Here is a 27,445-nt window from a genome sequence, read left to right as displayed (position 1 = left end):
AAGAGGGACATTCAGGAGGGGAAACACTGTGGTCGCTAGAATCCCTATGTGACACCATGGTCTCTCTAGAGTGTCTGTGTGACACCATGTTCTCTCTAGAGTGTCTGTGTGACACCGTGTTCTCTCTAGAGTGTCTGTGTGACACTGTGGTCTCTCTGGAGTGCCTGTGTGACGCTGTGGTCTCTCTAGAGTGCCTGTGTGACGCTGTGGTCTCTCTAGAGTGCCTGTGTGATGCCGTGGTCTCTCTAGAGCGTGTGTGTGACACTGTGGTCTCTCTAGAATGCCTGTGTGACACTGCAGTCTCTCTAGAATGTCTGTGTGACACTGTGGTCTCTCTAGAATGCCTGTGTGACGCTGTGGTCTCTCTAGAATGCCTGTGTGACACTGTGGTCTCTCTAGCGTGTCTTGTGATGCTGTGGTCTCTCTAGAGTGTCTGTGTGATGCTGCGGTCGCTAGCTAGAATGACTATGTGATGCTGTGGTCTCTCTAGAATGCCTATGTGAACTTAGGAATTCACACTCCTAGGCTCAGTGCAGGCTGAGCACCAAAGTGTGATCTCATCAAGTGAAATAACCCCCTTCTCTCAATTTCTCTTCCTGTAAGGAGGAAAATGCCACTTTCCACCCACAAAGCTCTCTAGAGGACCAAGAAGACAATTCTGTGAAGGACGTCCACCAGGAGACAGGAGCTACAAGACAGCTTTCTGGAGCTGTCCTCCTAAGTCCCCATGCCAATCAGTGTATAGTAATGTCGCCAACTTCAAAATCACGGAAATATGTTTGCATCAGACAATGGCTTCAATTCCAACACATGGTACATTCCCACAAGTTTGGATTTCCATAGGAAGAATAAATAACACTGGCTTCCTTGAATGTCCTGGATGAAAACCACACATCCTTCCAAATCCTGTGGAAAAACATCTCTGGCTCCCTCCTTCCCTTAGAATCAGACCCTTCAAAATCTTGTGGTATTTCCCCAAATACCATAATTTTGAGTTGTGACATCTGGTTTCCAGTTCTCCCAGGCTGGGGTTTCTTGTTAAAGGGACATCGGAATCTCGACATCCCGAGCTGCCACCCTGACCTTGTGCAGGAGTCTCACTGCCCCACTTCCTGGCATCCATGCACTCTAGATGGTTCTGGCACTTCCCCCAGACAAGGAAGCTACATTTTTTTCTAGGATGTACCTTTTTAGAAGCCTTTGTCTCTTCCAGAAGGTATGTCCGGCACGATGGGACTCCCCCACTCTCCCTTGCCTCAAACATCACGGAACATCTAGACATCAGTGAGCGTCCCACTAGAAAAAGGCCCCTGAATCTTCAAGAAGCTCCAAGAGGGGAGTTAGATTGTCTGGAAATTCCCCGAAGTTCTTCCTGCTACACCCACTGGAGCCCAGGATTTGAGAACCAAGCCCGCCGGCCGCGGCATACTAGGCTCGGCTTTCTGTTTCGAAGCTCGAGGCTGTACCGGGGAGAGAGGATGTGGTCCATGGGAAGGGGAAGTGCCACTGCTCCAGGGAGCCAAGCATGGCTTCCTCAGGGCCTGGCTCCTCAGGCAGCAGGAGGTGGGCAGCACTGTGCAGCGGGTAAGAGCACACGCTGTGATATCAGATAGGCAGGTGTTGGACTCCCAGCTCTGGCCAAGTGACCTCTGGCAAACCCCTTTCCTCCCAAGCACTGGCATCCTCACAGGTATAACAGGATACAGATGGTGGGCAAATGCCGCGGCCACATCCTACACGGGGAGAGACGCTTCATCAACAACAGCCATGAACACTGTCTGGCCTGTTCATCAGGGCCCAGCAGACCCATCACACAGACACATGGTAAAAGCACGAGGAATATTTCATTTCATGGTCACAGGTAAGTGCTTAAGCTGGTAGTGAAGGAGGAAGCCCAAAGGCTACTGAGGCGGCATCACAGTGACGGTCAAGAACAGGCCAGAGGCTGGCTGCAGTGGCTCAAGCCTGTAATCCCAGCACTTTGGGAGGCCCAGGCGGGCAGATCATCTGAGGCTGGGAGTTCGAGACCAGCCTGACCAACACAGAGAAACCCCATCTTTACTAAAAATACAAAATTAGCCGGGAATAGTGGCGCATGCCTGTAATCCCAGCTACTCGGGAGGCTGAGGCAGGAGAATTGCTTGAACCCGGGAGGCAGAGGTTGCGGTGAGCTGAGATCGCGCCATTGCACTCCAGCCTGGGCAACAGGAGCAAAATTCAGTCTCAAAACAAACAAACAAACAAACAAACAACAACAACAACAACAAAAACAAGAACAGGGCGGAAAGCAGCACGGAGGGAGGATGGGAGAGGCAGCAAGGACCCCCACACCGGCAGGTGCAATCCATTCTGCATGGACCTCCATGGCCTAGTCAGAGTGCGTGAGAGGCTGAAAGGGCCACTGCAAATAAAAACGACACAAAGCATGAATTGTGGTGATATTGGAGGTGAGTAAAAAGATGCAAATATGAATTGGGGGAAATGTTCAGAAAATCTCACCTTCTGAAAAGAAAACTGGCAAAAAGCAATCAAATTAGCCACCTTTAATGCCTGCTATGTTGACCCTGCCAGATTTTTTTTTTTTGGGGAGGGGTGTATATTCAACAGTATGGACAACTAGTATACAGTACACAAAGCGACTGCGCAGTGTATGAAGATTCAATCACAGATCAACCACAGCCAGTAGACTACTCATTAGGCAAAAATCAATGAAACCAAATCAATGAAACCATCAAATTTTAAAGCCATTTTATGGTGAATATTGACAACAGAAAATGAAATTAATACTGCCTTAAAAAAACCCAACAAAAAGACCCCCAAAATTGCATATGGTAAAAAATCAAATCACAAAAAAAATTTTTCTTAGTAGAAATAATAGTTCTATAAAAAATTCATAATGGCAGCTTTCATAATACTGATTGGTGAAAAATCTTAGTTATAAATTTTATGCAGAGAAGAAATGACTCCAATAAAAAGAATTTTAGTGAAATAACAATCTAAATGAAAACAATTGGAAATAATTTGTGCGATAGAGAAAATTATGGTCTTAAATTGACTTAGTCTTTTCCTCAGAAAGCATCTTCTCCAACAAAAATCCATTAGTGTTGTTAAAATTCCAATTAAAATGTTTCTACTCTTAAATACAGAATTAAGATATCTTTGATGCGGGAAAAGCCCAGCAAGTCAAATCAGTGGGTCAAAACTTCCTGTGGTTGTGGAAGTCTTCCCAGGGGATGCTCTGTCTAGGATGGGGTGGAACTGTGTCCCTGACAAATCCAGGCTTTCCTAGGGTCAGGAAGTTGCTGTGCTGTGCTTTCTAGAAATTTCCTCGAGAGACTCTTTCAAGGATTAATTTAGGAAATAACAAAAGATAAGCTTTACTCTTAGTAAAGTGATTGGTTCTGCGTACTACAAGAAAGTTTATTGGGTGATGACCGAAGATAGGGGAGAAGGAGGGAGAGGGAGTAGAGGAGGAAGGAGAGAAGGAACACACACACACGTGCACGTGCGTGCACACACGGGTGCATCTACTCTGCCTGGGGAAGTGGCATTCTACCTCGTCAGCAACATGTACAGAGTGGAGGTAATCGGTCTTCAGATTCTGCCACAACGCAAGTGAATTTTTAAAAGCCCACCAGCATCCTTTGATCTGGTTCCACCCTTACCAAGCAAAGTCCATCATGTATATGGTATCTGGGTTACTGTGGCTTGGAAGAGGCGCTTCCTAAATCACTAGCCTTGCTTTGGGAGCCAAAGCTCACATTTCAGCTCCTCACTCACTCTCCGCATTGACTTCCTTAGTCTCAGCATCGGGTCAGGACGGTGGAACGGGTGGGAAGAGACGAAACCTGTGGAATGTGAAATACTTTCCCCTATTTTGATCCCTGGAAAGGTCTATCCCTAATAGAAATTCAACACTTTGATCCTGTGATTTCTAGTACAGTTTTTGTCATTTTTTTCTAACCCCAAATCAGTTGCTTACGATCAGATCATCCTTGGGTGAACTGTAAAAACTGAGTTTCTGAAACTGAAGTTTCCAAGCAAGCCTCCAGTGACCCCAGCTTCCCTGGCCCCCTGCTGCTATTCTTTGATGTCTTTTTAGCTGCACCCTAAGTCATCGGGAACATTCTTTCAGAAGAGAGAAGTGTAAGGCATTTCAAGAGCCTTGAAACAGACTCTGAAGCCCAGAGCCCTCCTCCTCCCCACCTACTCCTCTCAGAAGTTTGAAGACAGGGGAAAGCTGTTTAAATCCTTGGCAAATCTTCAATAAATTACTCAGATGGCTGATTCCAAGGGGCCATTATGGGCTTCTATAAGGAAGAGATCTACAACGGATAATTAGAATGAATAACTCTAACCATAAAAAGTTTCCAAATCTAATTGTTCATTTTTCTTTCTTTAGCCAGATAGCACAACATAAATGTGTTAAGATTTCATTGAAACAACCTTATCTTCCAAAGCCAAGTAGTATACGGGAGGACTCCTTATGAAGGGTTAGATCAGTGATGGAAATGAGCCCAGCTTGCAGGTGCCTGCACCCCTTCCTCAGCCTGGAGGAGGTACAGCTAAGCTGGCAGGCAGCGGTCCCAAAGACATTGTACCAGCTCTGCCATTTATTCCTGTCACGCTTAGGTAGCTTTTTATGAGAACGTACATTTGTAGAAGGTGGAGAGAAAACTGAGTGGGAAAAGAGAAGAATTAGACAAAACAAAAAACGATCATTTACTACACATCTACAATGTGCCAGGCACTTTTCCTATAATTGCTAATCCTGAAAAGAACCTCAAAAGATCCATGCCATTACTCCTATTTCACAGATAAGAACACAGAGGGATAGAGTTTAGAAAACTGCACCGCTCACCTAAGTCACGCAACTAGAGAAAGGGTGAGCCAGGATTCAAACCCATGTCTGAGGCCCTCCAAAGCCCTCTCCTTCCTCTTTTCCTTCTGCTTCTTCCACCCCATCTTTTTCCTCTCTCCCTTCCCACCCTCCTTCTACTTTTTTTTTTCTTTTTTTAGGGGGAGTCTCCCCTGTCGCCCAGGCTGGTGTGCAGTGGCGTGATCTCGGCTGCAAGCTCTGCCTCCCGGGTTCATGCCATTCTCCTGCCTCAGCCTCCCGAGTAGCTGGGACTACAAGTGTGTGCCACCACACCCGGCTAATTTTTTTTGTATTTTTAGTAGAGACGGGGTTTCACTGTGTTAGCCAGGATGATCTCGATCTCCTGACCTCGTGATCTGCCTGCCTCGGCCTCCCAAAGTGCTGGGATTACAGGCGTGAGCCACTGCGCCCGGCCTCCTCCTCCTTTTTTTTTTACATCTTCATAGAGGTATAATTTATGTACCACAGCAGTCACCATAGAAAGTGTGCAATTCAGTGACTTGTAGTGAATTTATTGCATTGTGCAACCATCACCACGACTTAATTTTAGACCATGTTCATAATCCCAACAAGCTCCCTCATGTCATGTGCAGTTAACCTGCACTCCTACCCTCCCAGCCCCAGGAAATCACTAATCTCCTTTCTGTCTGTAAAGATTTGTGCTTTCTTTGACATTTTATACAAATGGAATCACACAGTACATAGTCTTTTGTATCTGGCTTCTTTCCCTTAGCAAATGTCTTTAATGTCCATGTTGTAGCCTGTATCAATACTTTTCTTCCCTTTTATTGCTTCATGGAATCCAATTGTATGGATATACCACATATGGATCATCAGTTCATCCTCTGATGGACATCTGGGTTGTTAGGTTTCATGCAGCTATGAATATTCATATACAAGTCCTTGTGTGGACATATCTAGGAGTGGAGTTGCTGGGTCATATAGTAATGGTGTTTAGCTTTTGGAGAATTCTGAGAAACTGCTTTCCAAAGTGGATGTACCATTTTACAATCCCACCAGTAATGTACAAGGGTTCCAGTTTCTCCAAATCATCACCAGCATTTGTCATTGTCAGTCTTTTTGATTAGTGCCATCCTAGAGGGTGTGAAGTGGCATCTCACTATTCTATTTTTTGGTTGTTGTTGTTGTTGTTGTTGTTTGACACAGAGTTTTGCTCTGTTGCCCAGGCTGGAGTGCAGTGGCACCATCTTGGCTCACTGCAACCCTCCGCCTCCTGGGTTCAAGCGATTCTCCTGCGTCAGCCTCCCCAGTAGCTAGGACTACAGGCTCGCACCACCACACCCTGCCAATTTTTTTTATTTTTAGTAGAGATGGGGTTTCACCAGGTTGGCCAGGCTGGTCTCAAACTCCTGACCTCAGGTGATCCTCCCACCTTGACCTCCCAAAGTGCTGGGATTACAGGCATGAGCCACCGTGCCCTGCCTCATCCACTTTGTAAGAAAGGCAGAAAGTCTGTTCCTAATCGTGCTGATTTTGCAGATGCACCTGCACTAACCTGGAGATGGGGATCACTGCAGGAAACTGCATCACCCCCAGTATGGGAGCTGGGCCCTTGCACTGAGAAGAGGATTTTCAAGTTACCTGCTCATATATTGTAGGCATAAACCATACAGTTTTGAAGGAAACTAGGTTTGACTTCCCTCTCTCTCCTCAATGATATGAGGAGCTGGAAAGAACAAGGTCTGAAATCTGGAAACCTGGGTTCTAGGCTCCAGTTCTGCCACTTTCACCCATTTAAGCCCCTCTTGGGGGCTTTGTTTCCTTATCTGTAAAATGGGTGTAATAATAAAGTTTTCCTTACTAGGTGGCTTAGATGTGGAAAAAAATGCAGTGATAGCCATGGATGGGCCTGACAAACGATTAAAGTGCTACAAAATGTGAGCCTTAAAATTATGCACTAGCATGCCCTGTCTTGGAATCCCATGATGCAGGGGCTAAGAAAGAGATTGTCTGCCCACTGCTGCTTCTCCCTCCCCCTCCTTCCTACCTCAGGACACAAGACAGCTGCAGTCTAGCAGATGACACCACACACTCCACACACTCCCATTTTACTGCTCCCTTTCCAGGCAGCAGGGATGAAGGATGAAGGCAGATGTCGAGAGAAGGACAAAGCTGTGCTTTAGTACTTGGGGAATGGTAGGACCAGAATAGGCACTTTTCAGCAAGATCCACAGCTCTATCTTCTTACACTGTAGACAGGGAGGTCCCTCCAGCTTTAGTGAAGGCTGCAAAGGAAAGTCCATAGAATAGGAGGAATCCTGGAAGAGAATTATCTCTGCCAAGTGATTTTTCAGGCCTAAACATTATGTTCACACCAAGTCATCACAGCTCCTCTGCCATGCTTGTGAAATTTACCAAAGCACCACAGCAAAGCTATACATTCACAATCACAAACTTTTAAGAGCAAGAAAAAGCACTCCTTTTAATTAAAAAAAAAAAACTGTAAAAGTTTGTTGTGTAAGGGATTAGGATCTGTTTTAATATCTTCAAAATGGGTTGTAATAAACTTTAGTATAGGTTTTAATATCTAAGGAAAAATAAAGCTATTCATCTCAATACATATCACAGATACATGTTTATTATACCTAAATAAAGGAAATTCTCAATCCTGGCCTGGATAAACAAGAAAGCTGCCTAAGATGTAACTTTCCTAGATTTATATCATGGAAACTGGTCATGCTCCAAGGATTGCAAAAGGGAGAAAGGGCAGCAACCTACAACTGTAATCTCTCGGGGTGGAGGCTGCTTAGTAGAGTGGAATCAAACACTTGGGTTTCAAAGAAACATCAGAAGCACAGCTCACACTGATGCTTTGCTCGAGTGGGCCTGCAGTCCTGCCTCCAGGATACCTGTCCCTCCAGCCTTATATCCCACCTCTTCTTCAGCTCATCCTGCCCACCCAGCGAGCTAAGGAACGCTGACTTCTGGCCTCCTTCCTTCCCAGCGCTCAGCTCCTCCTGCACAGCCCTCGGCCTGCCGTCCCCACTGTAGCTGGGCCCAGGCGGGAAGTGACCAGAGGCCATGGGCAGACTTTCAGTGTTACCTATTTGCCTTTCCAGATCGGCGGCTTCATCAGGCGTGGCTCGTGGGAGGACTCCGGGGTCGCTGAAGCTGGTGCGGAGCAGGGTCCCCATCACAAAGAAGAACAGGATGCCAGCGACTGCAGGGATGGCAGGGGTGATTTTCACCGCCAGGTACGGACAGCTGCCGACAGGTTGGACAGACCGGAGAGAAGGGGAAAAGAAAGGAAATACAATGTTAGGAATCAACAGTAAGCAGTCTTTATCTTCTAAGAAATCAAAAGCTTATTTGGAGGAGAGAAATTGATTTCCATTAAAAATTCATCTATGTGAAAGATTTACGTTTGGGGAGGTCTGCAGTTCTGTCTTACAGACAATTGAACCCCCACTCCCCAGTATGACGCCCAAGCCCTCTGCTCTTACAGGAAGATGCTGGCAGAAGAATGAAAATAGTCCTGCTTGTATAATCAGTCTAAGACGCACAGAGCTTGTATAAATAGACACGTGTCCTCTGTGCTGTAAACACGGTTCGGGAGTCTATGAGATCCCCCTGCCCTCCCCTGGGATTACATAACAGAAGAAGACACCAATTTAGAATGATCTTCATGAGAGCCAGCCTTTCCCACTTGGGTCAAATGACTCGGGAACTTTCAGCCAGCACCAAACGCTGAGGACTGTACACACACTTTCAAAGGGCAAGAAACCAATTTTCCATGTTCTGGAGGTAATCTATTCCAAAGTGAATGAGCTATGGAAATGGACTTGCAGGCAGGTTTCGGAAGAAGATTTAAGGGATTTCAGCAGCTGGAATAGAATCATCTCATGCTTTTCCAGAGGGCATCTGAGCTATCAATGGATGAACATGGCCCAACTCTTAACTCGACCTTTTCACTGCTGTCAGTCTGACATGCTGACGTGAAGCAGGGATTGTTATGAGTCAGGGAGAAGTGCCACTGGGACAGACTAAACTCTACACGAGCCAGCCTGGGAACCAGTGTCTGACATTTGGTCTCAGATCCAGGTATTCTAGAGCTGGAGCAGTTCTTACCGTGGCCCCTTGATGCAGTCAGATGCCTGGACCTAAGTGAAGGATGGGATCTGCAGTGACCACAGTCAGTCCATTGTCGCCACATTAAATAACATCATGGGCATTGGGGAACATGACGCAGAATCACGGAATTAGGACATCTGGCGTGGAAAACAATGCTAGATTGCCCACCTCATCAGAAGATTCTCTTCTATGTTCTCAAGACAAAACAGAGATGGGGAGCTGGAGAAGAAAGGATTGGGAAGCTCAGCTCTGCTCAAGACTAGGAAGCAGACAGGGCTCTTGGTCTTGGAAGCCCTGGGAACCAGCACCCCACTGCTGTTCAGGTCTCTGATGGATGGCAAACGGATGCTGGCACGAGTCTGGGACTTGAGAGCCACAAGCCGTGATCCCCTTTGCTGAGACAAGTGATAGAACATTAGTGCACCAGCCTTCAAGAGGCCTGCAGACCTAGACACAGCTTCCTGGAGCAATCGCTGATGTTGACAATGTGGACTGTGGCTGTGCAAGTTTCCTAGCATGAGGAGATGTACAGCGAAGTATTTAGGAATAAAGTGCCATGATGAATGCAGCTTACTCCCAAATAGCTCAAAAAAATATTGTCTAAACAGAGCAAATGGGATCAAGTATTAGCAAGAGGTGAATCTGGGTAAAGGGTGAATGGATGTTCTTTGTACTACTCTTATTCTTGTAACTTCTCTGTAAGTTTGAAATTATTTCCAAATAAAATGTTAAAAAAAGAAACACAGTCTACATTGAAGGCATGAAATTACCCTGGTATGAAATTATATATATATATATATATATATACACACACACACACACACACACATACATACATATATATCTATATATGTTATATATATAAACCCTGAATACATATAATTTTAGTCTAAAATAATCTACTTTAGGGGGAATTTTTTGTTACAAAATGGTTAGGGAAAAGAGCAACTGTGTAGAAAAGAATTTTCCAAAAAAACTTAAATTCACAATTCGACATAGTTTGAACAATGGCAGTGAGTAAAACAAGCCCACGTTTTTCCCCCTTCTCAAGATTAATGAATTTGAAGATGATGTTGGCACAGCAAAGCCAGTTTCAGCGAGGGCACAGCTGGACAACGTGAACCAGACAGACCCGGTTAGGAGAGAGTGTTCCACCTCAGGTGTTGACAGCTGTGATTTAACTCTATGGAGCTTCTCCAAGGATGGCTACTTGTGAATGGCCAGAACCCTCCTGTGAGGGTGACTTAGTAGATCTTAGGCTTTGGTGTGCTTATTTTTTCCTTTTTGGGTCTGAGACGCAGCTTGGTGGACCGCAAAGTCCACCTGCTCAAAGTTGCAAAGGCTGCCTCTTGCTCTTACAGCAAGTTCTAGCATGCTTTGCCCTCCACCGTTCCCTGTCCCAAGTGCACTCTCTGCAGGGTTGGGATCTTCCACAGCCACCCCACTTCCCCAGGCTGATGCCTCTGCGGCCTCTCATCACCTCCACCCCCTAACCAGGATGTCCCCTGCCACACTCTCACTGCAGGGATAATACACTGTAGATTGGTATTTGCACTTGAGCACACACTGATTTGTTCAGAGCCATCCCAGAAAGGAGGAAAAGGCAAAGTCCAGTTGACGCGGGGAGGCCTACTGCCTGCCGGGTTCTCTAACTGCGTAGTGGGCTGTTGCACTTGGACAAATCAGGGTATGGATCCGAAATGCCTCTGTCTGTGTTTCCCTGGGAACCTGCTCCTGCTCCTGTCCCCGCAGGAAATCTCAGGCAGGTCTAGTGACTTCTCTGATGATAATATGAAGGTAATAGGAAGTCCTTGTCGCTTTAAGTAGCAAACAGTGCCATTTAAGCAAATGAAAGAGTAATAATCCCAGTGAATAACGGTAACTTCTACCTTGATGTGAAGTTAAGCCCCCTCCACTACCCCAGCTCGCCAGCTGCAGTTTCTGGCCCCTCCACGGTGGAGAATAAAGCAGGTGAAGTAGAGAGGGAGGCAGGAAAGAGCCTACAGGAAGAGTTCTGTTACAAGGCGACTATGTGCTCTGGGTCTAGGAGATGGTTAAACCGGCTCTACCTAGACTCGCATTGGTGAGTGCTTTGGACGCCCCGGGGGAACCTAGGTGCATGGCCCACTTGCAATGTCTTCCTCTTTCCCTCTTCTTAAATAGAAACGGCCAGCTTCCTCCCACTCAGGGACTTCCTTCCACGCTGTTTTGCCTTCCAGTCCCTCCTCTCAGAAGCCCTCTTTGTCTTCTCTCCGGGGGACAGCTGGAACAGTGATCTGTTTGTTTGTTTATTTATTTATTTATTATCTTTCTGGAGACAGGGCCTCACTCTGCTGCCCAGGCTGGAGTGCAGTGGTATGATCATGGCTCACTGCAGCTTTGAACTCCTGGGGCTCAAGAGATTCTCCCAGCTCAGCCTCCTGAGTGGCTGGAACTACAGGTCCTCACCACCACACCTGGCTAATTTTTTGTGTGTTTTGTAGAAACACTTTGTTGCCCAGGCTGGTCTCAAACTCCTGGGCTCGAGTAATCCTCCTGCCTCAGCCTCCCAAAGTGCTGGGATTACAGGAATAAGCCACCACACCCAGCCTAGAACAGTGACCTCATACCTGCCTACCATGATCCCCTCCTTCAATCTGTCCCAACCACCACCGCCAGCTCCAATCACACGTGTCTCTGCTCAAAAGCCCTCCATGCTTCCGCCGTTCCTACCAAATGAAGCTCGAGCTCCTTATCTGGTGTCCAAGTCCCCCACAGTCACCTTCTCTCCCTCTCTCTCACTGCCCCCTCCTGAATCCCAGCAATGGCCACACCTAACATTTGGGCGTCTCAGGCAGGCACCCGCTTTCACTCACCGCCAGCGCTGCCTGTCCAGCCCACGTGTCTGGAACACCCGCACCTCCCATTCAGCATGTTGATGCTCCCAACTTTCCAGTTCCAGCTCAATACCGCTTCCTGAAAAGCCTTGGTAGAGTTTCTGGGCTCACCCCCTAAGCAGAAGGGATCGCTTCTTTCTCTGAACCCCCACCGTGTTTTTCTTTGCTCCTCTCCTTGGACATGTGGCTATTTGTGGACATGCTCCATGCACCTCACTAGATTAAAAGTCCTGGAGGGTGAGACTGGCTCCTGTTCCTCTTTGTGTCCTTTGTAGCACCTAGCAGGATGCCTCGCATGATGTAAAATGCAACTAAGTTTGATAAATATTTGTTGAGTAGCTGAATGAATAGAATCCATTTAGTGAATTTTACTGTAACACCTGAAAGAGGAGGAGAGTCAAGTCACCCATACCCTCAGCAACCACAGACCTGGTCTAGAACTTCTCTACTTTTGTCAGCTCGCTAGGTCCTGTAACTTCCTTCAGACAGATGCTAAGGCCCAGTTCCTTCTGCGAGGCTCCCTCAGCTGAGAGGACAGGATATTCCTCAGCTCGCTGAGCCGAGTGTGCCTCATGTTCACCTTCTGTGGGCATTTGCTGGAACCTCTAAGACCCTCCATGTGCTAAAGTTCTAGTAGATGCAGCACCATATGTTGGTACAACTCTGTATAATGCTAGGTGCTCTGTGACAGTCCCGTTCCACCAGCCTCTGTGTGTGACAGAGGACAGTGCTGAGTTTGTCCTAGAAATCCTCAACAACTCACTTTTTATAAAAGTGGCAGAATTCCCAACCCTAAACAATGAGGTCAGGGCTACTGAGACACCTTCAAAATGCTGCTTAGAAAAAGCATAGAGCATCTGTAGTCCTTGTGGTAAAGACAAGGCAATAAGCAGACCCTGCCCATGACTGTGAATGTTAACCTCCTGAAGGAGGTGAGACTAATGGGACATCCCAGTTGACCCACAGACTGGCACGGCTTCACAGCTGAAGGAAGCACTGTGCACAGTATGGCAAATTCTTAGTCCGAGCTCAGATGACTTGAAAATGGCTCCTCCATATTTCTGAGCAACTGTGGATGGGAACTCCAATGCTGAGTGCCATCTGTGTTGAGGAAGACTCCATCCCCAAGGGCCTGGATCTGATACAAGATGATGAGGCAGCTGCCAAAGATATAAACACCAAATGGAATCCTATTTCTGTCTCAAGAATTGTGACCTACATACAACTCAGGGCAGTGTAGCAAACAGGCTACAGGCATCTTAGTCTTCATAAAGATTAACTGGAAAGTGACAGGGGGAAAAATAAGAATACATCTTCATAACATAAAAGAAATTAGCTAATTTAGCACCGGATACTAAAATGATGAGAAGCCTTTACAGAACTCTCCCTCCAATCATATACATCAGCAAGAGCTGTTTGATTTTGGATATGATGATAAATACCTATGCACAAACTGCCAAAGCATTGTACATTAGAGGTACAGAAATTCATTCCAGGTAATAATTAGAAATGTAGCACTGCCAAAAGATTATATGGAATTTTTTTCAGTTCAAATAGCAATCTCTTTGAATCTTTAGTAAAAATTGTTTTTGTGCATTGATGTTTATACATGAAAAATGGAACTGTTTTCTGGGCGCTATATTATCTGAGACCACACAATCAGAGTGCATCCTTCCTCTGCTCAGAACTAAATATTTGATATTGGTCATTAAAAAGATAGATGGAGCCGGGCGCGGTGGCTCACGCCTGTAATCCCAGCACTTTGGGAGGCCGAGGCGGGCGGATCACGAGGTCAGGAGATCGAGACCATCCCGGCTAAAACGGTGAAACCCCGTCTCTACTAAAAATACAAAAAATTAGCCGGGCGTAGTGGCGGGCGCCTGTAGTCCCAGCTACTTGGGAGGCTGAGGCAGGAGAATGGCGTGAACCCGGGAGGCGGAGCTTGCAGTGAGCCGAGATCCCGCCACTGCACTCCAGCCTGGGCGACAGAGCGAGACTCTGTCTCAAAAAAAAAAAAAAAAAGATAGATGGAGGGATAGATAGACAGACAGACAGGCAGACAGATAGATAGATATAAAATCATTTTAGCATCAAACAGACACTGACATCCCAGAATCAATACTGTCATTAATTCTATATTCATGTTTAGAGACTGGCTTACAGGTTAGAATTTGACATAATGCTGATTCCTTGAACAAAACCCCTAAGACTAAATTAATTTCTTAAACATTTGGATAAGAAACATGGATTTCATTATTGGGTAATTAGGTCACTCTGTTTTCCAGAGGACATTCTTTGGGAGAAGATTAACTTAAAAACTAAACAAAACAAAAGAACAATATTAACAAGATATAGCAGAGACATTAAAACCAAGTGCCCTTTGGAACAAGAAGTAGAGAATCTTTTCCTGTATCAAAACAATTTGAGTCCTCTTTTAATGTTTTGTCTATAAATGGATACACATAAAAAAAGTTTGTTAATAGTAGCTCATGACTCCTGACTGCAGCAAATGGCCTACATTTGATATTTTTGGTCTGTCCTGTACGTATGAAAGCATAAACATGAGAATAACTGTTTTTTAGACATAACCACGAGGCATACATTTATTATTACACAGGAAGAGGAAGTGGCCTTGCTGCATTATTGCCACACTCCAATCCAGGGAGTTGCTACTTTGCAGAAATCACAAAGTAACCTAGCATTTTAAGTTTCAGATTCTCGATTGCAAAGCATTTCAATAATAAGTAGCTAAGGCAAACAATCATAAATGAAATAACCTGAGCCAATGACTCACACATCTGAAATAATCAGAGTAGCATTGTGAGAAATGGAGGTTTTAAGGGTTGCAATAGAAATGACCCCTTTTCCTTTTCAAATGAGTCACTGCAAAACAAAGGTACTTTTCACTTACAGGCAGGAACATAAGCACCATTCATTTTGTGATTTGTTCCTTAATCACATACTTAGAAATAAATCTACCACCACAAGGCAAAGATGAGCGCATTACTTGGAGACAAATAGAGGAAAAAGTAGATTCAGAAATCATATCCACTCACAACTCCAGAATAGGAAAAACCAAATAGATGATTTCATAAAACTCCCAAGAGTGACATTCCCCTACAAGATCACGATGGCAGGACCCCGTGCCTGGAAAGCACGATTAGTGACTAATCGTGTTAATTACCCCAGACGCACAGAGCCAGGAGTCTATGCATGCCTGTATGAAGGGAGGGAATTTAAATCAATGAGCCCAGGGACTAACGTGGAAAATATGAGCAAAGCAAGCTGGAAGGAAAAGCTCAAACCCAGAGAGCATGGAGGTGACAGTAGAACTCCACATACCCATTTGTAGACTACAAACTTGATGTTCAGTTTCATCAAAGCTCAACAGCTCTTTTTCACACGCGTCTCTCTGTCTACCTTTGTCGGGTGAGAACTGTAGCTTTCAGGCTTGCTAAGGGAGGAGGAAGGTGAAGGTCACCCTACCGAGTCGAGGAATGTCACTTAGGAAATCTGGTTTTTCCCTACAGGACTTCTGGCTAGATGCAGAGTTAAACAGGGATGTCTCCAAACACAGCACAGTCTTGCCTTGAACCTGCAGAGTTCATGAGTGAGGAGAGGGGCTCCAGGCTTCAAGCACTTGCGTGAACAGAGAGCGGAGGAGGGGAGACAAGGAGAGTGCTCTCTTCTGCCCGTGGGGCCCAAACACCCTCCAAGCATGCAAGACAGAGTTAGTGTCCTTACTCTTAACTCAGGGCCTCCCAGACCACCCAGAGAGGTCTACTTAAGATACAGGACCTGGGAATCTGTAGCTTTATAATACAGGCTTCAAATCATAGTGTGTAAACAGCCCAATTTACTCATCTACTATTGAGAATGTACAAGAGCTTACTAGTGAATATTGTGGTGCATCAACATTTTTGCCAAGTGATTCTGAGTTGCATTTAAAATTCCAGGAAGAGGCCGGGAGTGCCTATAATCCCAACACTTTGGGAGGCTGAGGTGGGCAGATTGCTTGAGCTCAGGAGTTTGAGACCAGCCTGGGCAACATGGCGAAACCCCGTCTCTACAAAAAAAATACAAAAACCAGCTGGCTGTGGTAGTGTGTGACTGTAGTCCCAACCACTTGGGAGGCTGAGGTGGGAGGCTGGCTTGACCCTGGGAGGCTGAGGCTGCAGTGAGCCAAGATCATGCCACCGCACTCCAGCCTGGGCAACAGAGCCAGACCCTGTCTCAAAAACATGAAATGAAATGAAATGAAATGAAATGAAATGAAATGAAATGAAATGAAATGAAATGAAATGAAATAGAATTCCAGGAAGCCAGAGGCTTCTGGGTAGCATGTGAATCATGGGAGGGAAAGCCAACACTGTTTTGCCCCAAAAGTTGCTCTTTAATGTCCAGACATTACTTAGGCATGGCAACCACATGCCCCAGATTTCCCATTCGAGTCCTGGTTCAGGTGAATGTTTTGTCATTTTCAGACCATGTGTGGCTGCTGAGCTAATTGGCCAAAGTAACTCCATTTTGCTTTCTGTGCATCCTGGAACCGTAAGGCATCGTCAGGGCAAGCCAGGGCCCTTCCGAGAAAGCTCTTCCTAGAGCTGCTGGTGTGTGTGCTGGGAAGACCTGCACATACCAAGCGTCCAGGGTAGTGATTTGGGATTTGTCCTGGCACTAAACAGCATTCTAAGGTTTAGCTGCCTCTGACCCTGGCTTATATTTGAAGGGTGTCCATTCTGCCTCCCTTCTGGAAACTCTGTATAGGAAAGTCATAGCTCTATTCATAATTCTTGTTTCATCCAATCTAAGGTACCCCACATTTTAAGATGTATCATTAAGGGGAAATGTGCCAAATCAGATAATATTCCCTAACCACAAGGGATCTTTATTTCATACTTATTGAAAGAGTTATTATAGACTTAATTAGACACCAATTTAAAAATCATATATCATTATTGTGCATACATTTTAAAAAATGCAAGTGAACTAAATTGGCCACAGTATTCCTAAAACATCTCCACATTTAGAGCCTGAGGCAGAGGTGTCTGCTTGAGGGCTTTCCACGTTGCAGCCTCCTGAGCCCATCAAAGCATGGCCCGGCTCTTCTGCTTCCCCCTAGGCTGCACTCCGTGCCCAATGCACCAGCTCAAGCCAGAGCACGTCCCTCCTCTGCTCAGAACTAAAGCCAGGTACTTGCCGAGGCTACAAAGCCATCTGGCTCCTGTGACCTCTTTGACCTCATCTTCCTCCCTCCTGCCGACCCCTGCAGCTCTGGAACAAGCCAGGCCTGCCTCTCCTCTGGGCTTTTGCCTGTGCCTTCCCCCTGCCTGGAACTCCCTCCCTACAGGGAGCCATAGAGCTCCTCCCAGCCTTTGCTCAAATATCACCATCTCTGTAGAGCCTTCCCTGACTGTGCTGCACACAATCTCCAAACTGCAGCCCTCCTATGACCAGCCATCCCGTCTCCACCAACCCCAACCCCTTCCAGCTTTTACTCTTCCCATAGCACTTATCCCCACTTGGCACACTGTTAATATATATACTTCCTTGCTTACTGTCTGACCCCACTAGAAAAAAGCTCAATGCAATGAGGACGTGTATCTGCTTGGTTCACTGATGTAACCTCCAGTGCCTAGAATTCAGTCTAGCACATAGTTGACCTTACAATAACTATTTGTTAGATGAAATGAAGAGACATCTAAAAAAACACAGGATACAAAGTACAGCGGAGACAATCCTATTTGTGTTTCAAACACATCTATATTTGTAACTAGAAGAATGTGCCCCATTATCTCATTATCCCTGGGTGATTTTCTGCATATGTGCGTTTTGGTGGTTTCCAAATTTTCTTAATTAAAGCATGGCTTATTTTTGTAGTAGAGAAATATGTTATTAAAAATAAATGCATAAGTACTTGTTGAACTAAAAAAGAAGATAATTGCCGAAATATTAAAATCTGCCTGTGCTTTTAAAAACTCAACTATCCATAAAGAAGATGCTTGACGATAATGTATATTCTCTGTTGGATTGAAACCTCAGCGGGCTGAAGCTCTTGATTTTTGCAAGTTGTCTTACAATACCTTAATTAGTCTAATTGTTTTGGGGTATGGAGGATCATACATTTGAGAAGGCAAAACCCAGGTTATCTCCTATCTCAGCTCTGGTCTGTACCCAACTTCTTGGAGGAATGTGACTAGAGAAAGTTCTTCTGTCATCCTTGCAGATTTCTGTCTTAAACTGGGTATTTATTTAAAGTACAGGACAAGGCCACACATATAGGGCCCAACTCCCCTCAGTTCCAGCAAGCCCCCTGGAGATCCGGAATCTCAGAGGCCTGCTAGATTCCCTTTTTCTTTCCTTGGGTTGCGGGTGGTCTAGGGATGGCAAGATGGGAAAGGAGGCGTTCAGGAATGAGAAAGAATCAAATGCTATACAAATTAAATCTCCTCAACACCGGCAATGTTCATGGAATTGAACCCAAACGCTGGATAGCTCATCAGTGAGCACTGTTTGGCAATGAATTGCTCAACAGAGACATTTTCAACAAAATATGAATTAGTTTAATCATTACATGTTCAAGAAAACCTTGTTGGAAGGAAAATGCCCTGCCTTGTTTCAGATTGCACACTGAACACCACTGAGGCTCTCCTCCCATCCCAAGGCCCTGGGGCCATCAGGCTGCCTGCTGGGAGGTGGCCCAGGGGTGTGGCTGCTGGTGCCACCAGGAGACGCCTGCTGTGCCTGCTCCTCCTCCCCCAGCGGCTCCTTCCCCAGTGCTTCCATGGCCAGGGGCCCCACACTAGGGCTTCAATTGCTCACCCAGGGTGGGCAGGCAGTGAGCACAGCTTTACCCAGGACTGGGGCCTCTGCCAGGGAGCTGGCACCCCCACGCCCATCCCGCAGAACGAGGCCAGGCCCTCTGGGACAGTCACACTGCACAAAGTCCAGATGTTACCGCTACGGAAAAGTGTCTTCGGCGTTACGAAGATGCAGTAACTCAAGGCCTTTGGGGAAAAGGCACATTTGAGTCTTGGAAAGTTTTTCCAGAGCTGGAGAACAAGTCTACGAGTACCGTGGATGCAGGAGATGACTGAGTCTCCTTCACGCCTTCATTCAGGCACTCGGCACACAGCCACTGAATACACACTACCTGCCAGCAAGCTGCACCATGTGCTAGGAAAGCAGGAAGATCAAGACAAGACCCTCGCTTCCTGGCAGCTCACATTCCAGTGTGGGGGTTGGGGGGTGGGGCAAATCAGCACACTACAAACAAAAGAGCAAGTGTGGAGACACAGGTGTTGAGGAACGGTGGAGGGAACCAACTCAGTGGGCCGGAGCGGGGGGTGTTGGTGAAGCCTTTCTGGAGGGGGTGTCAGAGGCAGGAGTGAGACCTGCAGAGAGGAAGGGTGTTGGCAAGGACAGGGAGCCCCAGACCCTCCCTGACCCTAATGTTTCCAGGCCTCCTTCGGACGGTGCACCGAGTGACTGGCGGAAGCACAGTGTAATCCTCCCTGGACTGGACTCTGGAACGGCATGTCCGGGGGGGGCAGGGGCGTTGTAGGCTGTTTAGTCACTGTGGCATCCCCAGTGCCTCACACACTGCTACATGATAGGCACTCGACAAATATTTGCTGAATTGAATGTTGTGGAATCATCAGAGCAGACCCGGGACATCTGGGTCCACGTTTGGTGGCGAACTGCAAAGCGATGGGTGCAAAGGTCGTCATGCAGGTGAAGCAATGAACACCGAGAGGGACCTGAGCAGACCCCACTTCCGTGTGCTCCAGCCTCTGCTGACAGCGCTCCTCTGAGCTAACGATCTCTCTCCTGGGGGAGAAAAAGGGCCACCTTCTTTCTTTTGCAAAGTAGGAAGAATTTCTAAGTAAATTTTGCTTTACAATGTTTCCCTAAGAATAAAGAGGAATTGAAGATTTTTTTTTTAACATATCCGTCATCATAAACCTCAAGGAATTAGATAATATAGGACCAATACAGGTTAGAAATATCCAGTCGTTCAGACAGAGACACATGTGAGTGCAGAAGGCTAAGCTATTTCACCCACAAACTCACTAAACAATGTTGTTTCCAATAGCAGAGACATCATAATTTGAAAAATAGTACATAATAATTATGCAAAATGGAAATAAGGTGCTTTTGAGTAGAAAAGAAAAAAGGCTACAAAGGTATTTCAGGAGAAAATGGTTCTATTTCCAAAAAGGGGAGAAATAAAACAAGGTTAACAGCTTAAAGCCCACGAGCCCTGTGACACCAAGTTGGAGACTATCAGGCAAAGACAGCTTCAAAAGTGCATATTTGGTAGAAAAATGAACAAAATGAAATTCACTGAAAGTCTTTGGATATTGGGTTGCTGTTGGGGCTGCCGATTCATTTTTTCCTTCTCTAAAGGGACACAGCATTCATTCACAGATGATTCCTTTATCTCACCTAAAACAATGCCCGTGGTATCGACTATTATCCTTGGCAAAGTGCCTTTGCATTAAAACATGGTGACAGCATTTCTCGGCCCTGATGTTGGGGAGAGTTCCTACCATGTAATTATCCAGCTCAATTAGAAGACAAGGTCAGAACAAACAGATCCAGAGGGAAGGTCCATGCCTGCTAGACACACAGATGTGGTCCCACATCATTTTCTTTTTTCTTTTTTTCTTTTTAGGTAGCCTGTTACTGTTTCATACACATGGTTTTCAAAGTAACAGGCAGCCAGATAGTAAGACTGCAGGGAGCAAATGAAAATTCACATTTTTTTGATTGAGTACCTATATTGCAGGCAGTTTCACATATAACATTTCATATAATGTCTACAGAAATGTACACAGCTAATTGTCTATGACATTGGTATTACTGAGACCATCTCACAGATGAGGAAACTAAGGTTCATTAATTTGACTGATAAGACTTATAAGAGGTTCATTACTTTGAGCCTGGTTTAGCTAATAAGTTTCATAACCAGAAGTCAATCAGATGTGGCCGCCATCAAAGCCCATGGGCCCAAGGCATGGTCTCTCAATTGTACCACAATGAGGCCTACACTTCTGTTTTGCACTCTACACATTTTCTTAGTGGAATACAATAACAGCTGTACCTGTTTTCACCTTTTTATAAGGATCTCAATGATCCTCATTAAATGTAATTAAGAACACAGTGAAACCTGAAACTATTCTGCGTGAAGGTGCCTTGTCCAGTCTGGGGAGAAGACAAGCTCGGAGTCTTGGGTGACAAAGTCGCTCATTGATGGATTGCCAGCAGTCTGGTAGTAACGCCTTAGTGACTGAAGGTCAAGAACATTTCTCTTGGGCTCCGCTTCCCAATTCCAGTTGAAGAATAACAAGCTCTGTGGTTTCTACACAACAGAAACCACAGATTCCCAGGGGCCCTGTCAATCAAGCTTGACACTAAATGGTGATGACTGCTCCTGTTATTGCAAAATACATGTATACTAAACAAAGACCGTACTGGTTAGTTTTGCTTAAATACTGGAGGATTCTGACCAGTACAATGCTAAAACATAAACTTTCATTTATGAAAAAAGATAAACTTTCTAAAATTCCCAGGTTATACTCAAGAAGTAACTTGCTCCCTGTGAAGAGAGGGTGGGGTTGCAGAGACTCCAGAGATCTCCACTTCTGCAGTGTCAGTGTGGAACTGTATCTATTGCTCCAGTATCCACTCCTGACCAGCAGGAATGGCAAAGAACCTCAGAAGAGTACAGGTGGTAGGTGCTGAGTAAAACTGGAAGTCTGAGTGTGTCTCCTAGACACTAGCAACTACAAGGATATACTTTCAATGAAACTCTTTGAACTCATTGGGAGAAACCTGAAAAATACCATGTGCTGTTGAGGAATTAATGCCCACTCCCACCCCCAGTCTTCATCTAATTATGCTTTTATAATTAATTAATTAATGCCCACTCCCACCCCCAGTCTTCATCTAATTGTGCTTTTTAAATTAATTAATTAATGCCCACTCCCACCCCCAGTCTTCATCTAATTGTGCTTTTTTAATTAATTAATTAATGCCCACTCTCACCCCCAGTCTTCATCTAATTGTGCTTTTTAATTATTTTATTTTATTTTATTTTATTTTTTTGAGATGAAGTCTTGCTCTGTCGCCCAGTCTGGAGTGCAGTGGTGCGACCTCGGCTCACTACAAGCTCCGCCTCCCGGGTTTTTGCCATTCTCCTGCCTCAACCTCCCGAGTAGCTGGGACTACAGGCACCTGCCACCACGCCTGGCTAATTTCTTTGTATTTTTAGTAGAGACAGGGTTTCACCATGTTAGCCAGGATGGTCTCGATCTCCTGACCTCGTGATCTGCCCGCCTCAGCCTCCCAAAGTGCTGGGATTACAGGTGTGAGCCACTGCGCCCACCCTATCGTGCTTTTTAAATTAATTGATTAATGCCCACTCCCATCCCCAGTCTTCATCTACTTGTGCTTTTCCAAGTATATTCATCTATGGTTAAACTTTCATATCATTTCTTTACTTTTCTTTTAAGCCACACACTTCTGAGATTAAAAAACAACAACAACAAAAAAACTGTTCAGCTCATTTTGAAATACAACAGAAGTATTCCTGAGGACTTCCCCATGGCAAACACGATTATTAACTGATTACTAAAAAGAGAAGGGCAAAAGGCAAAATAATGGACATTAGATCTAGGGAAAAATGGTGGAAACAACCTTAAAGAATACGGTGGAGAAACATCTGGAAAAAGCATATTTAATTAGAGAACACCAAGAGGGACTGAAACAAAGGAAATCATGCCTGGCTGGCCTGATGGAAGGCTTGGAAGGTGTGACTGCCATGAAAGCTACAATCAATTAAATAAGTGCCACCTTTCTTGAATTTTGCCAAGCAGATGGCAAAGTTGGAGAATCAACAGGGAAACTGCAGAGTGATACAATGGAGAGAGAGAAGGATCAGAAAGCCCCTCCTACAGCTACATCCCTATCCCTCTTAGGCTTGCGTCATACATTGTCCAGTTGGCTTCAACATTCAGAATAACTGGAGCCCTAAAGAACTGTCAAGTTCTGAGAACAGTCTTTCCATTTCCAGAAACAACTTCCTGAGAGACCGTTACATGGCTGCCAAGAAAACACTGCTTCATGTTTAAAGCACTTGTGAAACTTGAGGTCAAAAAGCAGAGGTCCACCAAGCAAGGCCACAGAAAAACAGCTTGAAAATGCTCTAGCTGAGCCTATACGCTCTGTGGCAAAACCTCGTGACTGTAGTGCTTACTCTGGGCAGTTCTGGAAGGCTTTTTCTACCAGAAGTTTCCATCAGTTGAGGTTTTGACTCTTACTCTCCCCTGGGTGGAGACTCTGAGGCTGCATGGTGCAAGATGAAAGGACTTCAATATTGTCTGACTATAAGAGCAAGCTCTGCAAAGCACTTTTTTGAAGAGATTTTTGAATGGAAAATCTGGGTGGGAAAATAGGAAAACAGGTCAGTTGAGCAAAGGAATATCAACTATTCCTGTTCGCCACATGAGCTGAGAATGCAGCCTCTCCTTCAGAGTAGAAACAGGAGCTGGGGAGCTCCTGGAGTCGATGGGAGGTGCCCAAGTCTGGTAGGAGATGGGGGCACTGATGCAGCCATGGCCCCCCGGCTGGTGTAATCTGCTTTCAGGCACCCAGTTGCAGGGTGGCTCAGCTGAGGGTCACCAGCTTGCAGCGATAGAAGAGAACGTTGGCCTTACCTACGGCCATGGTTTCACATTGTGTGGGAGGATCCATAGATTCTCAAAGGGGTCCTGGACCCCAACAGTATTATAAACTACTACTCTTAGGAGGGGAGGTACGTAATCAAGTACCTATTCAGAAGCACACTCTGAGGCCAGCTGCTAAAGATGCTGCCCCAAGTCCTTCAGTGCTCCCGGCCACCATCCACTGCCCCGGCCCCTCTCCCCACATCCCTAGAACCTCTCTCTATGAGCCAGCAAATAAAAATTAACATCTACCCAGGTCCCTGGTCCAGCGGTTGGTGAATAATCTGGCTGTCCACACTGCCCTTCAGCCTTCTCAGCCGAGCCCTGGCGCACGTGTGTCAGTCCATTCAGAGAAGATGGGTTCCCACAGTCGCTGAAGTAGGCAGGAGCACAGAGGCCACCCTGAGACTAGCACAGACGTAGGGCCATGTAGGGAAGCCCCTTCCTAACCCACGAGCTTGAGGGTGGGCAAGACTCCCAAATGTGAAGACACTCGTGTGTGAAAGAGAAAAACAACCCAAGGCTAAATGAGAGAGTGAAAAGAAGGTTCTAGAAGAGATACAAGAGAGGTACTATCCTATCCCTAGCTTTGTCTGGAGTCTACAGAACTTTACCTTGTCAAGACCGAGTAGACCAACGTTTAAGACAAGAACCTGACTCACTTCCATACCAGGATAATCTGGGAGATGGGGACAGAGGCCACCAGAAGAGGGTCGTGGTGTTGTGGGAAGGCCTCAGGCACTGGGAGTGGACGCCGGGCACTGGGGCACTTACTCCAGAAGCCTGGGAAAGTCCCTTATTCTGAGTCTTCATTTCATCATGTGTTAAATTGGAATAATGTCAATTATAGGTCATGATAGTCTTATTGTAGTGTTGTTTTGAGAATTGATGAGTTAGCATCAGGGAGACCCTTAGCAAAGCCTCTAGGTAGGCAAGAGATAGTCCATAAATAGTATTTCCTTCCTGCTAGGAGAGCCAGTCTTGTACTCACCTGGATTTCTGGTAACCTTCACACTTCCCTGCTGTTTCTTGTTTTGGTTTAGTCCAGTGGGTTTCCCTGAAGTTTAAAGTGAAAGCTTATGAGCATTCTGTGTTTGGTTCAGAGTTCAGTGGAGTAGGAAGAAGTTTGGCTTCAAAGCTCAGAGAATAATTCAGGCAGAAGAGTGATCAGTTTATCCCGGCGGAGAGGACAGGATAGGCAATTCCTGAAAAGCCCATGAAAGAAAGAAGTCTGATGGGGAAGGTGGAAGCAGCTGGAAGCCAGTAGCTGGCCCTGTGGTTTAATGGTAGGAAGCCCTGTCCCCTCGCAGGCATCCAGCAGCAGTGGGACGGGAGGGAGCAATGTTCCCAGGCCTTCTGATGCCCAGAATCATTTTATATGAGGCCCTACAGGGAAGAGTCACTCCACAATACGGTAGGGAGCCTGCTGGATGCTTCCATTGATCCCTCCTCCTGGTTTTCACACTCGCCTTGCCTGGGGGCTGGGACTAATGACTTGCTTCTAGAAAGTGGTCAAGGTGGTGGGGTGTCACTTCCAAGATTAGGTTACAAAAAACACTGCAACTTCTGTCTTGCTCCCTGCCTCTGGAGCTCTCATTGGCCCTCTCGGAGGGAAGCCAGCTGCCATGCTGTAAACAGCCCAATGGAGGCCAGGTGCAGTGGCTCATGCCTGCAATCCCAGAAGTTTGGGAGGCCGAGGGAGGGGGATCACTGGAGCCCAGGAGTTTGAGACCAGCCTGGGCAACATGGCAAGACCCTGTTTCTACAAAAGAAAAACCTTAAAAATTAGCTGGCCATGGTGATGCACGCCTGTAGTCCTGGCTACTCAGGGGGCTGAGGCAGGAGGATCGCTTGAAACAGGGAGTTCAAGGTTGCAGTGAGTTATGATCATGCCACTGCACTCTAGTCTGGGTGACAGGGTGAGACTCTGTCTCAAAAAAACAAAAAACAAAAAACAAAATCCCAGCCCTATGGAGAGGCTCACATGGCAAGGCTCATGAGGGTGGCTTCTGGCCAACAGCCCCTGAGTGAGCTGAGAGGAGAATCCTCCCCGGGCCCAGTCTTGAGATGATGGCAGCCCCAGCCATATCTTGATTGCAGCCCTGTGGGAGACCCTAAACCAGAGGACACAGCTAAGCCACATCCAAGAAACTGTGAGATAATCAATGCTTGCTGTTTAAAGCCACTGAGTTCTGGGGTCATTTGTTACACAGCAATAGCTCACTAACACAGGTGGTTCTGTCAGGCACAAACTAAACAAAACTACAGACATCAAATGAAATGGGATATTCTTCTGATAGTGAATAGAACAGAATCACAGGGAAGGGAATAAATCCCGAATATTCTTTCTACCTACAGTTTCCTCTGATTGGCCAAGTGGTACACAGGTATTCTTCTAGATGTAAGAAAACCTTTTAAATTATTAGTTAAGGCTCCGTCACGGATTAACTGAAGCTTGGGTCACTGCTCCATGGTCTAAATGACTATGTTCAAGGTGATGTGAAAGTTTTACAGAAACAATGACCAAGAAAATTTGTCTTCTTAATATGTAAACAAAGATATGTAAGAAGCTAATATGGAAAGAGAAAACGTGTATATGTACAACCACATGCCACAGAGAGACTTAAAATTAAGCTGGTGAGCTGAATAACTAGTATCTATTAAAAAAAATTGCAAATATGCCGGGTGTGGTGGCTCACGCCTATAATCCCAGCACTTTGGGAGGCCGAGGCAGGCAGATCACCTGAGGTCAGGAGTTCGAGACCAGCCTGGCTAACATGGTGAAACCCCATCTCTACTAAAAATACAAAAATTAGCCAGGTGTGGTGGCACACGCTTGTAGTCCCAGGTACCGTACTCAAGAGACTGAGGCAGGAGAATTCTTGAACCTGGGAGGTGGAGGTTGCAGTGAGCCAAGATCACACCATTGCACTCCAGCCTGGGCAACAAAGTGAGACTCCGTCTCAAAAAAAAAAAAAAAATTGCCAATCAATAGAAGTGAAGTCTGTTTATTTGCAATAAAGTGAACACAAATAAACCATCCTAGCATTTCCTAAAGATCCCCTTAAATCTCTTCCAGCTGCATTTCTGTAACCCTGTGTTAGATACCACCAACCATCTAATTTTTGTCCTATTTTATTTCCTAAGAAATATTTTCATACTTTTTACAAAATAGTAAGAGAGAAACATTTACCAGTGAGTCTTTGTTGTTGGAGACAGGGTCTTGTGCTGTCACCCAGGCCAGAGTACTGTGGTGAGATCACGGCCCACTGCAGCCCCCATTTCTTGCGCTCAAGCAATCCTCCCACCTCAGCCTCCTGAGTAGCTGGGACTACAGGCACGCACAACTGTCCCTGGCTAATTTTTTTCCTTTTTTTTTTTTTTGTATAAGCGAGGTCTATGTTGCCCAGACTGGTCTCGAACTCCTGGGCTCCAGTGATCCTCCCACTTCAGCCACCCAAAGTGTTGGAAATACAGATATGAGCCACTGTGCCCAGCTAATCTTTGTTTTTTAATGAATTTAAAGTATATTATTTCCCCAATCAGGCTATGCCAACTTTTATGCCCCTGTGGTCTGACATTCTTTTGAGTGGCATAAAGAAAGAAGAAATCCGCAAGTCTGTGTGGTGGAGTTTGCAAAGCAGCTGATGAGACACCTCTGATATCCCTCCTTCCAGTGTCCCATTAGAACCCTCAAGAGGATACACAAAAAGGAAAACAAAAAGTCAATAGCAATGAAGGCTGAAGAGAAGAGTGCTTTCATTAATATACTGGTGATGGCGATGAACTGAGAAAGACATTTTTGGATCACACATCACGTATTCAATATATCATAAAACAGAACAAAGCAGATGGCTCCTGAAGGGCAG

At 45.8% G+C, this 27,445-nt stretch overlaps 1 protein-coding gene and 1 non-coding gene across 8 annotated transcripts in view, besides 5 other annotated features; both read right to left on the bottom strand.

Annotated features, from left to right (window-relative positions):
- ZDHHC14 (zDHHC palmitoyltransferase 14) overlaps nt 1-27,445 on the bottom strand; it is a 296,968-nt gene that overhangs the window by 127,469 nt on the left and 142,054 nt on the right. For 6 of the 7 annotated variants that reach the window (NM_024630.3, XM_047419366.1, NM_153746.2 and 3 more), the window contains exon 2: nt 7,944-8,104. In NM_024630.3, coding sequence (NP_078906.2) covers nt 7,944-8,104 — 161 coding nt within the window. Of the gene's footprint in view, nt 1-7,943; nt 8,105-24,567; nt 26,815-27,445 lie in introns of those variants that run through there. The other variant, XM_047419368.1, reaches the window with a different exon arrangement.
- Nucleotides 326-526: a silencer, noted in NCBI's record as "peak6260 fragment used in MPRA reporter construct". NCBI's record gives its function as "represses an SCP1 promoter by STARR-seq MPRAs in K562 erythroleukemia cells {active_cell/tissue: K562}" and the evidence as "EXISTENCE:reporter gene assay evidence [ECO:0000049][PMID:32103011]".
- Nucleotides 16,562-17,062: an enhancer, noted in NCBI's record as "H3K4me1 hESC enhancer chr6:157954659-157955159 (GRCh37/hg19 assembly coordinates)". NCBI's record gives its function as "activates a minimal SCP1, AML or CMV promoter by ChIP-STARR-seq in primed H9 embryonic stem cells {active_cell/tissue: H9 hESC(primed)}" and the evidence as "EXISTENCE:reporter gene assay evidence [ECO:0000049][PMID:30033119]".
- Nucleotides 17,063-17,563: an enhancer, noted in NCBI's record as "H3K4me1 hESC enhancer chr6:157954158-157954658 (GRCh37/hg19 assembly coordinates)". NCBI's record gives its function as "activates a minimal SCP1, AML or CMV promoter by ChIP-STARR-seq in primed H9 embryonic stem cells {active_cell/tissue: H9 hESC(primed)}" and the evidence as "EXISTENCE:reporter gene assay evidence [ECO:0000049][PMID:30033119]".
- Nucleotides 18,130-19,034: an enhancer, noted in NCBI's record as "H3K27ac-H3K4me1 hESC enhancer chr6:157952687-157953591 (GRCh37/hg19 assembly coordinates)". NCBI's record gives its function as "activates a minimal SCP1, AML or CMV promoter by ChIP-STARR-seq in naive and primed H9 embryonic stem cells {active_cell/tissue: H9 hESC(naive and primed)}" and the evidence as "EXISTENCE:reporter gene assay evidence [ECO:0000049][PMID:30033119]".
- Nucleotides 19,035-19,940: an enhancer, noted in NCBI's record as "H3K27ac-H3K4me1 hESC enhancer chr6:157951781-157952686 (GRCh37/hg19 assembly coordinates)". NCBI's record gives its function as "activates a minimal SCP1, AML or CMV promoter by ChIP-STARR-seq in naive H9 embryonic stem cells {active_cell/tissue: H9 hESC(naive)}" and the evidence as "EXISTENCE:reporter gene assay evidence [ECO:0000049][PMID:30033119]".
- Nucleotides 21,489-21,557, bottom strand: MIR3692 (microRNA 3692). Its single transcript, NR_037463.1, has one exon. It is a non-coding gene; the product is annotated as a microRNA 3692 (primary transcript).

The sequence above is a fragment of the Homo sapiens genome, chromosome 6 (genome assembly GCF_000001405.40).
Source record: "Homo sapiens chromosome 6, GRCh38.p14 Primary Assembly".
NCBI classification, from domain to species: Eukaryota; Metazoa; Chordata; class Mammalia; order Primates; family Hominidae; genus Homo; species Homo sapiens.
The sequence above is the reverse complement of the archived record's forward strand: the minus strand, read 5'-3'. Positions and strand labels throughout refer to the sequence as shown.